The sequence below is a fragment of the Homo sapiens genome, chromosome 8 (genome assembly GCF_000001405.40).
Source record: "Homo sapiens chromosome 8, GRCh38.p14 Primary Assembly".
Taxonomy (NCBI): domain Eukaryota; kingdom Metazoa; phylum Chordata; class Mammalia; order Primates; family Hominidae; genus Homo; species Homo sapiens.
In genome coordinates, this window is record NC_000008.11 from 34,021,942 (window position 1) to 34,037,033 (window position 15,092).

At 40.4% G+C, this 15,092-nt stretch overlaps 1 long non-coding RNA gene across 5 annotated transcripts in view, besides 1 other annotated feature; it reads left to right on the forward strand.

Moving 5' to 3' along the window:
- Positions 1–15,092, forward strand: part of LOC105379364 (uncharacterized) — a 535,736-nt gene that overhangs the window by 299,560 nt on the left and 221,084 nt on the right. The window contains exon 4 of one of the 5 annotated variants that reach the window (NR_189605.1): positions 12,945–12,983. The exons of the other annotated variants lie outside the window; for them this stretch is intronic. This is a non-coding gene — a long non-coding RNA (uncharacterized LOC105379364). The remainder of the gene's footprint in view (positions 1–12,944; positions 12,984–15,092) is intronic. 5 annotated transcript variants of the gene reach the window in all.
- Positions 11,744–13,279: an enhancer, noted in NCBI's record as "VISTA enhancer hs1715". NCBI's record gives its function as "enhancer in: neural tube[4/6] | dorsal root ganglion[6/6] | trigeminal V (ganglion, cranial)[6/6] | cranial nerve[6/6]" and the evidence as "EXISTENCE:transgenic organism evidence [ECO:0001131][PMID:17130149]".

Sequence of the window (15,092 nt, forward strand, 5' to 3'; positions counted from 1 at the left end):
TATAATGTCCACATTGAGATCTGCTATAAATGTGAAGAATTTAAAGACTTAGCAAAAACATGTAAAATACAGTAATCCCCCCTTTTATCCATGGACGGGGGATATGTTCTAAGACCTACAGTGGATGCCTGAAATTGGAACACATTTCTGTTATATCTTCCACACACAAATGTAATGCCTTTTCCATCTTAAGCTCTTACCATGCACTGTGGTTGTATTTTTTTTTTCCACATAAAGCTTTTTGAGTTTTATTTTTTTCCTCAGGTTGGAGATTCATCTTAACATGCATGCATTTTAAAACACTAACAGTGTCTCGAACTGTTCAAAGCAGATATTAGGTAAGCACAAGGGATTGAAAATTCCTATTTAAAAAATGGAAGTTGCAGTGGGATATTGAAATCACACACATGTGGTGGGGTGGTAGTTTGTCCTGCTTCCCCAAAAGCTGGGTTTAAACTTCATTAACATTTTTTGATTATGACGATCTGACCTGATACTGGGGTGTGCCGAGCAGCACTAGAGCTCCCCCAGACGGTGTTGGCTCCCGTCACCTCGCAAAGTGGCTTTGAGCAAGGGTAAGGGGCTCCTGTGGAAGCTTCCACCCTGGCCTCTGCCGGGGATCTCGACACAAGCTGCTGAGTCTCCTCTTTCCCATGGGGAACATTCTAGAGGAGGGCGAGGGCCAAATCACTACCCCCTGCAGATGGCTAGTAGACTTGGGGACAGCTGTCTAAATATGTTTTCCCTTTGAGGACCCCCTGCCCACATGACTGCCAGAAAGAGGTGAGGCTTCCAGACTTGGGGTGGCCACAGGTTTAAGGTCAGAGCTCTGAAGGTTGTTAAAACACATTGTCCCTTCCGGCTCCAAACACCTGAGTAGCTCAAATGCTGGAGTGCTGCAGTTTTCTCTCTCCCACCCTGAATTGGTAAAAAGACAGCTGAAGGGGTAGGATTGCCTACTGAGTAAAGGCCTGTGTCTTTGGTCCACCTCCGCATGGTATGCCCTGGGAGACCATGAAGATGGGAAAGTCACAGGGCAGGGTTCTAGCCTAATGCCCTGAGCACTGCCAGGAGATCAGTTTGAGGCCTAAAGCACAGGCAAGAGAAAAGAGTGAAGCAGGGAGAGCGGACGAACAGCCTGTGGTGGGAACTTAGAGACTACCACTGACAACACTGTGGCTGTAATTTCTGCAGTTTGAGGTGGGCCAGCAAAACTAGCAGAGATTTCTTTTTCCTTCTTCACGATTTCATATATAGAAGGTTTGTTCTTACCGTAGATCTTAGCAACCTCAGTGTACGATTTTTTCTTTTCCTATTAAGTGAAGATCTTTCATGTTTTCATTTAAAAGAAGTACTTCGGGCAGGCATGGTGGCTCACGCCTGTGATCCCATAACTTTGGGAGGCCGAGGCGGGCGGATCACGAGGTCAAGAGATTGAGACCATCCTGGCCAACATGGTGAAACCCCGTCTCTGCTAAAAATACAAAAATTAGCTGGGTGTGGTGGCACATGCCTGTAGTCCCAGCTACTCAGGAGGCTGAGTCAGGAGAATCGCTTGAACCTGGGAGGGGGAGGTTGCAGTGAGCTGAGATCGTGCCACTGCACTCCAGCCTGGTGACAGAGTGAGACTCTGTCCCCGCACCACACCCCCCTGCAAAAAAAAGTACTTCACAGCTTCTCTTCTGGCAGGTCCACATAGCCAGCAAAACTACTCTTGTGCTTTAGGGCCATTATGAAGTAAAACTAAGAGTGACTGTGAGAACTGAAACCATGGAAAGTGAAACTGTAAATAAGGGAGGACTACTGTATCTAATTATTTTTGTGTTGATTATACATTGAACTAAACTGATATTTTAGATATACTGCATTAAAGAAAGTAAAATATTAACATTAACTTTTTTACTGTGGCTGCTAGAATTTTTAGAATTATATATGTGGCTTGCTTTATACTTCTATTGGATTGAGGTGCTTTCGATTATTACATGAGAAAAGAAAATGAATTTCAATCATTTTGAAAGCATTGTATTTCATTTTACTTTGTAGCTAAACATATATATACCAAAACAAATACCGCTGTTTTTACAATTTTTTTCTTTGTGTTTGATGTTCTATTGTTTCACTATGGTATGGCTAGGTATAGATTTACTTTGACTTATTCTGCAGAGGATTTGGTGTGCTTTTCTAATGTCTTAAATGCTGAAAAATCTATCTTTAGTCCTTTTAATGATTCTTCCTTTTTCTCTATTCTTCCCCCATTAGGAATGCTTATTTGATGTGTGTTGTGCCTTTTCTTTCTAGCCTACATATAACTTTTTCCTTTTCTATGTGCTGAATTAATGTATTTTCTCAGATTTTTCTTTTAATTCATTAATTTTATTTTTGTTTGTACTGTTAAATCCACCCGTAATATTTCAATTTCCCTCATTGTACTGTTTATTTATGGCATTCTTTTTAATCTTTAGAAAAATCTGCCAGTTTTTTTCATATACTTGTCCTATACTTTCCTGTTTCTATTTCTTCTTTGTCTCTTTAAGCATTTTAAACATACTAATTTCAAAGCCTCTCTCATATTGCATTACTATTTCTAGTTTTAGACTGTACATTTTCCTGTCTACTTGCATTTCCTAATGGTTCTTTAGTGTACTTCATTTCCTCACGCAATTTATCAAGTTTGGCTATGAATCCATTTTCAGCGATGGCCGTTTTCCATGAAAGTCCTTGCTACAAGTCTTGTTTGTAGAAGCATTCTTACAGTGTGATTTTGTACCGGTCTCTGATAAATTCTGAATCCATTTTTCATGCAAATTCCTTGGCTTGGAATTCACGTGTCCTTGGAGCGTATGAATTCAGATCTTATCCCTGCAAATGGCATTGGCCTGTATTCAGACTTTTTAAAAACGTGGACCTGAATGGATGGGAGCCTTCCTTGTCAAATCCCAGGGTGTCATGTGGGGTTCTTCTAGACCATATTTACAGCTGGGAGAAGGCTTTGTGACTCCTGGCCTTATGCAGGAATCATGTCTCTGGATTCCTATGCTCTTGAGGGCAGTGGACTGGATTCCCCTCTCTGCAGGGAACAGACAGTATCCCATTCCCTAGTTTTTAAAACCCACTGTGATTTCCACAATACTGTGAGGTATTTTGCTTTCAGTCCACAGTAGCTACTCTGTGATTTCAGCCTCCTTTTATTTCTATCACCTGAGAATTTTCTATTCTTGGTGCCAAGTTTAGTTATGGTTTCGAAAACTTAAATGTTATATTTTATTCAATTTTTCTCAATTCGTTTGAAGTGGTGTTGTGTGTATATTTTTCCATCAACCTAATACGCCATTCCAGAAATATTTTGGTTGATGATATTTATGTTACCAAACCAAACTGGATCTCTTTGTCCATGGGCAATGCCAAACACCAAGTGCTGGGTTTTTGCGGTAAGAAAGGTTTCGTGCAAGTCAACGGGCAAAGAGACAGGAGGAAATCTGTCTCCTTGAACTGGGGGCTGGGTTGGGTTTTATAAGCATAGGGTAATGAGGATGATCTGATTGGATCTTGCAGTGAGGTGAAGTGAAGGAGTGTTATCTAATTGGATCCTGCCATGGGGTGATGCCAGAGCTCAATCTTATTGGATCCTGAATCCTGTCATGCAAAGTCCACTTCTTAATTCAGTCTGTGCTTCTCTGCCCAAGCACTTAGGTTCTTGCTGTGGTTGCAAGCTTTGTTCATCTGGGCATGCTTAGGTTATGTGACCTTCAGTCTGAGGGTCTGTGGCAGCTGAAAAACAACTCACAACTCTGTTACATAAAAGTTCAACCAGATTGGCCTGGTGTGGCTACAGTTACTCTTTCTAGTTTACAATGAAGTCTTCGATGTTTTTGTTGGTTAATCATGAAAGTTGAAAATTAATAAACAGAGCTGATATTATTACAGCTACATAGAGAAAGTTTACTTCAGAGCCATCTGATAAAATAGAATTTATTTTTGGGTGTAATATAATTGCCACTATGTCACTCAAAGGATAATTATTCTATCATCACATTAAAATACAGACAGGTATTGCCATAGGTTCTAGTCTTTGCTCATGAGACAATGTAGACGGACAACTCATAGGGTTCTCATGTTTCTGAACATCTCAAGAGCAGAGGCACTGACTCTCCCTTTTTCTCTGGATTATCTTTTCCAGATTGTATAGTAATCAGTCATGGAAGAAAGAGACAGTATCTTTTTTTCTGGAGCAAACAATAGGCATTCTTACTGCCCATTATAAAAGATTTGGGTTCTCTAAGCTCAGATTTCCGCTCTTGGAATGCAAACCACTCCTGGTGCAGGCATCTGTCTGGGCCCCTTGATGTCACCCTTATGGGACTTGGGAGCAATGGGCTCTGACATAAATATGCTGATGCACATTGTATTAGTCCATGTTCACACTGCTATAAAGAAATATCCAAGACTGGGTAATTTATAAAGGAAAGAGGTTTAATTGATTCACAGTTCCACATGGCTGGAGAGGTCTCAGGAAACTTACAATCATGGCAGAAGGGGAGGCAGGCACCTTCTTCACAAGGCATCAGGAGGCAGAGCATGTGAAGGAGGAACTGCCAAACACTTATAAAACCATCAGATCTGGTGAGAACTCACTCACTATCATGAGAACAGCATGGGGGAAACCGCCCCCATAATCCAGTCACCTCCCTGCTTCGACATGTGGGATTACAATTTAAGATGAGATTGGGTGGGAACACAGAGCCAAAACATATCACACATGCTGCATGCTTTGCGATGAGTGATAAACTTCTTTATCTCTGACCAGCAGTCTTATATTTTCTTCCTGCATTCATGCATCTGTGGCATGCTGACATGTTAGTTTACAAGTTGGGTAAAATCTCAGACACTTTGTAGTTCTTGACAGAGATTTACAAGAGGTTACACTAGAAAGCTTCTGGAAACAACTTGACCTTTGTTTTTTAAAGGAACAACTTTTGACATAACTTTTTGCTTTCCTCCTCCCCTTGCACATGGTAGTAAATAAAGCCTGGAGTTATGTTAACTATCTTGAGGTCATTAGGTAAAGATGAATTCTGATGTCATTGAACCATTTAACAAATGTCAGTACCTTACCACCTTAATACTTTTTGATAATGTTAAGACAAAAGAAAAACAAATGAGCATAAACCAACACAAATCCCCAAACCCACGAAAATAAAACTGTTTAAGCCACTGTTAGCCAGGTCTTATATTTCTTTGACAAATGCCTTCAATACCATTGCCATTGGTCATTTCTCCAAGAAATCAATGTTTATTCTGTATAAGACATTATGCTAAGCACTACAGAGGATAAGAAATGTTAGCTATTATCTTGCCCTTGAGGAAGATAGAGCTTTTTTGAGAAAATGGTAATTAGCAAAACAAGGCAGTGATATAAATTTTTCAAGAGTGAAACAGGTAACAGGAGCTGTTGGAACTGAAGGGAAGGAGGAATGGCTGAACTTTACATGCTTGGAGGGCTGCCAAAACCATAGAGTGTGGGGAAGCCATTTCCTCATCTGGAAGATGAGAAAGCCAGCTACAATCAGATGTTTTTGAACTGTAATTTTAGCAGCAGAACTATTTTTGTAAATGAAATTTTACAGAGACCTTTAATCTATGAAACAGGTGAAAGCACAGATTCTTTGAAGTTTAAACCTGGAGTCAGCTCACTTGATCTTCCCTCACCAGTCTGTCTCTCCATTGCTCATTGCTCCCCACCCTTCCGAAGTTTATAATGCATCTCTCTGAAACCCCAAAGATCACAGGATACAATTTGAAAATGATCAGGCATGATGATTGAAGAGAATTACAGAGCTAAAAGAAATGCATTCTACAAGGATCAGTCATATCCATTGAGTTTCAGTTGGGTAGTTCTGCTGACCCCATCAGCACAGTGCAAGACTCCAGCCAGGTCTTTATCCCTTGTTAACTTGGCTGGCCACGTAGTTACAGACAGCAGCCTAAGAAGAACTAGTAGCTTTGTAGACATCTGCTATTTGATCATAGCGTGGGGGATGAGTGAGGTCAGAAGATGTGAATGAATCAGTTCAAAATCCATCATCACTAACTAGAAAAACAACTTGCAGCTCATTCCTCACTGACTGCGGGTTGGTGACATCTCTCTACTTAGTAAGGGTGACAAGCATCTATTTGGAAATCAGTGTTTCGCACATCATGAAAGAAAAAATGCTTTTTGGATTAGCTCCCCCCTCAACTGCACCCCCACTATACCCAGAGGGAGAGGCTTTTGTGGTCATTAGCTTTTTCTGTGTTAAAGCTGCTTGGTCTGACTGGGCCATTTGATTTCAGGTTTATCCTAAAGCCACAAAAATCGAGTTGCTGGGTATTTACTTGGGATTAATGACCAGTTAAGAGCAGCTGTGCTTTATATCATTAACCCGACCCAGGTGCTAATTCCTGGAACATGCCCTGTAAGCAGGGGCCATTATTGCTATTTGAAGCTGCAAATGCTGCCTTAGAGACTACAGACTTTATTTGAAGAGGAAGCCATTTTGATTGGTCAACACGTCATATTTCTGGAGAATTAATGCTCTGTGTATAAGCCAATCTGATTGCCTGGAAACATCTCCCTGTACTTGTGCTGTTCAGCTGATAATCCACTTCTAGACACAGGGCAGCCGGCTGGAAACGGCAGCAGGTTCTATTTTTGGTACCTAAAATCAATGCCCCACTCTGGCAGCCTGGGCGGCTGCCTCATTATCCCCCCTGCCCGGTGCAATGAGCACAGCTTCCCTTTGTGGGAGATTAAAGCAAGTCAGGGAGTGTGATAAATGCTTTTAGTCATATCTGCTGTCATTTGAATAATACTAGGTGTCAGGAAGAAATACGTCCCTAGCGGATTTTAACCAACCAAACTCTTTTGATATTCTCTTTTTCCTTAGTGCAATAAGAAACAGCAACTTAGAAAACTGTAACCCTCCCCTCACCACCACCCCCAGAAAAAAACAAAACCAAAACAAAAAACAGCAAAACCTGTTTATATTTGTAGGCTAGGTTGGATAATCTTTCTGTAAAGACTTTTTTCATTTATCCAGTGATAGCCAGGGAGTGACTATTGGGTTGAGCAGGGACATTTCCTTTGTTTACCAGAAGAGAAAATGGCTCAGTTCTGCCAGAATCTTCCAGCCCTCTGGAACCTCAGATCACTTTTTCTAGCTAAATCCCTATCTATATGCATTTAAGTTGGCTTTATTGAGTATGCTTATTCATGCTTCAGTTTTCCTACAGGTAAAATAGAAGAAAGATAAAGGTGTGATGAAAGGTATAATTGGTTGGAGTCCAGTGTAGGGCATGAGTCCTGGCTCCTCCCTACTCTCGGCAGGCTGGGATGCGAATGCTGGCTTCTTGTGTGGCCAAAACCATCACAGGCAATGCTGAGGCCAGTGATGTTGGTCCTCAGCACCTCCCAGGTTCCCCATTTTGAGTCTATTTGCTGCACAGGTGGGTTCCCTTCCATTCATCCCTTCAGTTAAACAAGGGTCCTCAGATCCTCTCTCCTTATGCCCTGTTGAGATCAGCTCTCAGGAGGGAATCTGATGGATTGTTCATGATATAATATTGACAGCAGGAATCTTCTAGGATAGTGGAAGACTGTTACACCTTGAACGCTGATTGGGCCTATCTCTCTGGTTGTGTAAAATCTGTGAATGACTCCCAGAGACACTAGTATCAGGCATTCTTGGATTCCAAGAATGCCTAAGCACTCTCTACAGTGTGCTAGTAAACTGGCTCTGATTTGTAGCTGTTGCTGATTTCAGTGGCAGAACAATTCCCATGACTACTGATTTCAGGGTACTAACATAAAGTCACTGATCACCAAGCTGGAAAGAGATGTTCACGGTTTGCTGCTGTGAGCCACTATGAGTCTTTCCCTAGCCTTTTTAGGGAATTTGTCCAGTATGTTTTTTGCATTTGTTTTTTCATGGTTAACTTTACTGACTATAAGATAGGGTAGTGATAGGGTTTAGATGGAGAACCTTAGCTTGGAATCCTGGATTTCTCTGTTACTTACTGTGATTTTGGACAATGTAATATCATTGAGCCTTTTTGTCCTTGACTACAAAATAAGAATAATACATAACTCTCAGAGGTGTTCAGAAATGAAATATATAAAATATTTGAGAAAAGCCAGCACTTAATAGTGGCTCAACAAATGTTTTAGAACCAAGTAAATTATTTCACATGTCAGAAAATGGTAAGTGTTATAAGCAAATACTTTAGTAATGTGATGTCTATCATTGTTTTCTTCTGTTTATTCTTAGTTTTAAAAAGAAATGAGAAACAGCAGCCCCAAGGACACATGTGAAATTGTCCATTGCTTTTACATAAGGAGGTGGGATTATTTCTCTGTTTTTTTCTTTTCCTGTACCTCTTCTGGTCCTTAGTGAATCCTTCCTGGAGAACTTAGTCAAGAACAAACATCTTCCCTTTGAGGATGGTAATTAACATGATATATAAGATTATTTTGCCCTCTTCTTGCCTAAAAGAAACTCAGCATCATGGTTTCAGCAATTGCTGTATGTGGTTTTCAAAAATATCTAGTATCTCTATGAAAAGGTTTTGCATTTTAATAAGGATCAGGATTTTGAGTCAAGAGAATGGATATAATAGCTAACATCTTTTCATGTTTACTACATGCTAGAGACTTCACTAAGCCTTTATAAAAGGATTATCTCATTTAGTCTTCACAACAACCTATGAGATGGGCACTATTACTTCACTTTACAAATAAGAAATCTGAGACTTAGGAATGTAAATAATTTGTTCAAGATCACAGAAGTGTAGTGGTTTATCTGTAATTATGGGATTTTAAGCATCAGTGAATTTGTATGTGAGGTAAATTGGGGAAAGAGGAATCTCTGTAGGGCAGTAACAATCATGCCTCATGGGCAGTCTGCTTGGCTAACTCTATTAATACTTGACCACAATAAGTTCTTTGAGGGCAGGGAGCTTGTTCTATTCATCCCAATATGTTCTCATCACTGCCTGGCATGGTGCTTTGCACAAAGTGAGTCCTTAGTAAAGGACAGTTGAACTGAATCTTTAATTTACTGACTAAATTTTTATAAAACATTTCTGTGATAGATACTTTTCTAGGCACAAGAGGTAGAGTGGTAGAAAAACAAAAGACAGAAAAAAATGTGTTGTTTACATGAAGTTTATATTCTATTAGGAGGAGCCTAATACAAAATATAATTAAATTATTTCACACGTTAGAAAATGGTAAGTGCTATAAGAAAACAAGGCAGGATAAAGAAGAAGAAAAATTGAGTGAAGGGAGTTCAATAAAACGATGGCATTTGAATAGACACTTGAAAGAGTGAAGGTGGTAACCATTACGGTTATGTTCCAGGCAGAGAGAAGGCCCTGAGGTGGAATGGAAGCATGCCTAACCTGTTCTGGAAAAGCAAGGAGGGTCCCCATGGCTGGAGCAGAATAAGCAAGTGAGAACGTAGGAGGCGATGAGGTCAGAGAGTTTGGGGATGTGCATCACACAGGACCTCTCTAACTTTTACTCTGATGAAATGGAAAGCCCCTGGAGGGCTTTGAGGCTCAGTTTTTTGAAGGTTTCAGAGTGTTAATAATCTGACTTACATTTTAAAAGGATTACTATGACTGAGCTCAGACTGTAGAGTAAAAAAGGCTGGAAGCAGAAAGATCAATTAGGAGGGCATTGCAATAATCCACACAAGTCATGATGGTGGCTGGAGCCAGGAAAGTAGCAGGAGAACCAACAGGATTTGAAGGAGGAGAGTCAAAGATGATGCCCAGCAACTGGAAGGTTGGGACTACTATAACCTGAGCTGGGGAAGACTGCTAAGAGAGCAGGTTTTGGGGAGAAGATCAGGATTTCAATTCTAGACATGTTAAATTTGAGATGTTGATTAGGCCTGTGTCTAGTAGGCAGCTGGATATGGGAACATGGATTTCAGAGGAGAGGATTGGGCTGGAGATTTTTATAATAATTGGGAATGATCAGCCTCTCGGTAGAACTCAAAAATGTCATCCAAAAGACCACCAGAATAGCTAAAAGATAAAAAGGACAGCTTTACTGGGAATATCAGTTCACAAACTGAAAAGAGTCTCTGGTGTGAATCAAAGGTGTTCTTTCTTTGAAGAGGAGAAGGGCCAGTTGGGTTTTATGCCTCACAGGGTCTGCTTTACAAAATAGAGTCCTACATATTCAGCAGATTTGGTGGAGAAGCTATATATATTTATGAGGGGAGGTGAGTTACGTGGAATGGATAAACATGTAACATACATCTCATGGCAATTTGGGGGTAGGTACTTAGCATTAAAATGAAGTGGAATTGGGCTCCTTATGTCAAAAGGTGAACTATAGGACACAAAACGATTTGTGTGCAACCTCTAAAAGCTGGCTGAAATCAGCTTAAGGTCTGCAGTTGCTTATTAAAAAAGAATCTAAGGTCAGTCCTCTGTCCAGCAGAGTTGTAGCGGTCTGGGTTGTAAACCAGAGTTAGGAAGGGTCTGATAATTTTCCTGATAGCTCCTATCGTTAGGGAGTTTAGCAAGAGTGCAGTTTTTCTTGTAGCTGTAGGAATTTGGAAATTTTCTATGCCAGCCAGACCGTGAACCCTCAACCTATAGGTACCTTTTGTTTCCTTAACCTTAGGGTTCTTCTTAGTTGATTAAGGGGCATCTACTTTTGTCTCTCAGATGATAAAACTGAGAGACCAGAAGAGGATATCAAGAAGAGAAAGAGTTCAAGGACTAAACCTTTAAGGCCTGAAGTCAGAAAAAAAGAATAAAAATTAACAAAAATATTAATGAAGTATGGTTACAGTTTGGAGAAAAATCAGAACATAGGGCCCTAGAGGAAAAGTAAAAAAAAAAAAAATTATGTATCTAAGAGAAAGTAAAGAATGACAGTTAGAAGCTGCTGGTAGGTTAAGTAAGATGAGAATAATGGACCCAGAATTTCACAGTACGACGTCTCTGGTGACCTTGACAAGAGCAGTTTCAGTGGAGCTTTGGTGGCAAAAGCCTAAATGAAATGAGTTTTGGGACGGTTGGGTGAGATAAATGAAAGATACTGAACAGAGGTAACTCTTTCAAAGAGTTTTAATATAACAGGCAGCAGAGAAATGGGGCAGCATCTGGAGGGGGAAGAGGAACTAAGAAGAGGTTTATTATCATTATTATAATCTCTTAAGTTGGAGAAGTAATAACATGCTTTATGCTGACAGGAAAAACCAGTAGAGATGAAAAATGGGAGATGTAAGACAGATGCAGTTTAAACGTCATTGTGTAGGAGGGGGGAATGGGATCTTGTGCAAATATGGAGAAGGTGGTTCATAAATAGTTAGAGGAGGGAGGTCCAAGTGTATCTGTACTGACTCTTTTAGCCTTCTTTGGCCAAAGATGGCTCAAATTTTTTTTGTTTTTGGTAATATGTATATTCTCTGTAATGGGGGTGTGTTTGTGTGTGTGTGTGTGTGTGTGTGTAAATTATAGCTGTGAGGTATGCATGCATATATGTTTGACATGTGTACATATATGTGTATTACAAACATTTGTACAGTACAAAGATTGTTAATTTGGGATATATACACACATATATGCACACATACATACATATTTTGTGATATACATATATAGGTGTATATACATATACATGCATATGTAGTCTTATTTTCTGTAAGGTGGAAAACAAGAACAAATAAATGAATTCTTCTTCTGAGAGATTTCCAAACTCCATAGCACTATAAGGCCACTTAAAAATTTCTGACTTTTTAAAGGCATATTGTTAAAGCTCAATTAGTCTTTTTTTAAAAATTTCCTTCTGGTATTAAATTAACATGAAAGAGCAGTTAAGTATATTTAGGACACTTTATTTAAAGTGTTTTCCAATCAGGAAACAATAAATATTTTTTTAAAGAGTGAATCTTTGAAGCGAGTCAGCTGCTGCTTCTCCCTCCCATAATTGAAGTGAGGGAGAATTATATGGAAAGAGTCCAGGACGCTCTTTGGTCCAGACAAAGCTGTGGTGATTAGGAGAATGAATTGCAAATGAGGAAGACAATAGGGAAGAAGGTTCTTTTATGAAGGGAGAGAGGATGGGTGTTGCAGAAAGGACACTTAATAATGACAATCCAGGCTCAGAAAGCACTTGGGGTTGTGAATAATTCAGCAGCCATTAGAGAAAAGGAAACCTTTGGAGAATGTCAATCTGTGGACACCAAATTGTACAGTATGGGTGCAACATCTGTGCCCTCCCAGATGGGCCCTGCTGCTGATGGGTAGACAATAATAAATGCAACCAGTTTATCGAGTACTCTCAAGAAAAATACAAACATGAAATGGCTTTATTTCTCTATGGTTATAGCTCCTAACCATGCTATGCCAAATCTCCCTTCCCCATTGAGAGCAAATCCCTTAATTCATTTTAGGAAGATTCCATAATTTTACAGATATTTTCAGTTATTAAAACACCAGTTTAAAATTTAATCTCATATATCATCCCAAGCTTTCCTTGCTATCATATGTCAGGCTTATAGCCAGGGAGATGGGAGGTGTAGGGGCAGGCTATTCCAATACTATACCAAGATGGGGGCTTCTGGTGGTGCAGGAGCATGTACCACCAGCAAGTCCCATGATTGTGGGCACACCTCATAACCTCCTTCACGGTAAAGTGGCTCCTTTGGTTAAACATTACATTGGTGTGGGGTTCTATGCCTATAAATCAGGCACTCTATTGGTCCTTGGATGATGATGCTGGCTGAGGCAAATTCATACCCAGAATAAGTATCTATTTTCATGGGAATGTATCACTGACTCTTCTGGGCTGAAAGGCACCCATTGTAGCCAACTTGCCACCATGTGGCCAGTTGATCTCCTCAAGGAATAGTGCCAGTCTCAGCTTTGGTCTCTGTTGCTTGTAGGTTGGACATTCAGAGGTGACAATGGCCAGATCAACCTTGGTAAGTGGGAGTCCATGGTGTTTGTTCCACGCAAAGTTCTGTCTCTGCCACTTTGTTCGTTTGCCTCTTTTTCCAGTGCTTGAGGGTGGCAGCTGACAAAGGCTGACTGATATCAACTGACTGATTCATTTCATCTGGTTGGAAATTTACTGCCTTTTCTGTGGTAGATGCCTTCTGATGGGTCTTAATGAGAAATGGGTGGCATCACATTTAGTATTTGTGCCTATATTGCCTTCTACATGCTTCTATCAGAAATCTTTATTCCCCCAGTCTTTTACCTTCTTGGCCTTGACATGAGTATATATATATATATGCACGCACATATGTATGTATATGTGTGTGTATATATGTATGTGTATAAATATGTATATGGTGTGTGTCTGTATGTGTGTGTCTATATATCCCTCAGGCCTTTTCTTTTTTCATGCAAAATATTTGATCAGTGCACTACCCAAACCACCCTTTGGGAAGATATTCTGTCCACCGACTTCCAAGGCTACCTTTGAGTGAGACAGTAAGGCAGCTCTTATCCATTTTTGGCTTCTACCTTCCTAGCAAGTCTTTCCAACCATAATCCAGACTTGGGCTTTTTCTTCCTTCCTTAGGTCATCTTACAGGACTTCCCATGGCCATCTGTGTAAGCTGAGAGAGAGATGGTGGTGTAACCATGATGGATAACATGGTACTCCCTGCTCATACAGCTTGCCCGTGTCCTCTGTTCCCAATAAAGCTCCCTTTGAACTGCCTTTGGACCAGCTTGACTTCATTACTTAGTGGGTGAGACAGGACCCAGCTTATGATGGGGAGCTCTGCATGCCCATTTACTGGGTGTTTTAAGTATTCCATCTCTACCAGAGCCAAGGAGCATGTCAAGAGCTGTTTTTTGTTTTGTTTTTTTTTCCCCAACACATAATTTTCCACAGCAGAAGTCAAGGCTTTGTACCAGAAACCCAGATTCTGCTTTGTGATTCTCCCCCTGGGCTTGCCATAAATACATCTTTTTTCCATCCTTGGCACCTCACACACCAGAGGGTTTGTGAGAACCTATTCTCCACATGGCAGGGCTATTTACACGGCAACCCGAACCTGATGATGACAACTTTCCTGCTTCAGGCTCCACTTACATTCAGCAGTTTCCATGACTCCCAATGTTTGATCTGGAACAGTATTGTTAGGTGTGCAGTGTGTTGCCTCCAAAACTTACCAGAGGCCTAGCAGGTGTGTGCTTCACTCTGTAATGGTAGATATAGAAATAGAGATAGAAAAGCTGCAGTGAATAGTCTTTTCTTTTTGCTTTTTTAATATACCACCTTGTTGAGGTATGTTTGATGTATAAGAAGTTGTACATATGTAATTTATACAATTTGAGTTTGGAGATAAGCTTATACCCATGTAACCATCACCACAATCTGTGCCATAAGCCTATTCATCACCTCTGAAAGTTCCCCTGGCCTTCCTTTTTTTTTTTATTATACTTTAAGTTTTAGGGTACATGTGCACAACGTGCAGGTTAGTTACATATGTATACATGTGCCATGTTGGTGTGCTGCACCCATTAACTTGTCATTTAACATTAGGTATATCTCCTAATGCTATCCCTCCCCTGTCCCCCCACCCCACAACAGGCCGCAGTGTGTGACGTTCCCCTTCCTGTGTCCATGTGTTCTCATTGATCAATTCCCACCTATGAGCGAGAACATGCGGTGTTTGGTTTTTTGTCCTTGCGATAGTTTGCTGAGAATGATGGCTTCCAGCTTCATCCATGTCCCTACAGAGGACATGAACTCATCCTTTTTTATGGCTGCATAGTATTCCATGGTGTATATGTGCCACATTTTCTTAATCCAGTCTATCATTGTTGGACATTTGGCTTGGTTCCAAGTCTTTGCTATTGTGAATAGTGCTGCAATAAATATACGTGTGCATGTGTCTTTATAGCAGCATGATTTATAATCCTTTGGGTATATACCCAGTAATGGGATGGCTGGGTCAAATGGTATTTCTAGTTCTAGATCCCTGAGGAATCGCCACACCGACTTCCACAATGTTTGAACTAGTTTACAGTCCCACCAACAGTGTAAAAGTGTTCCTATTTCTCCACATCCTCTC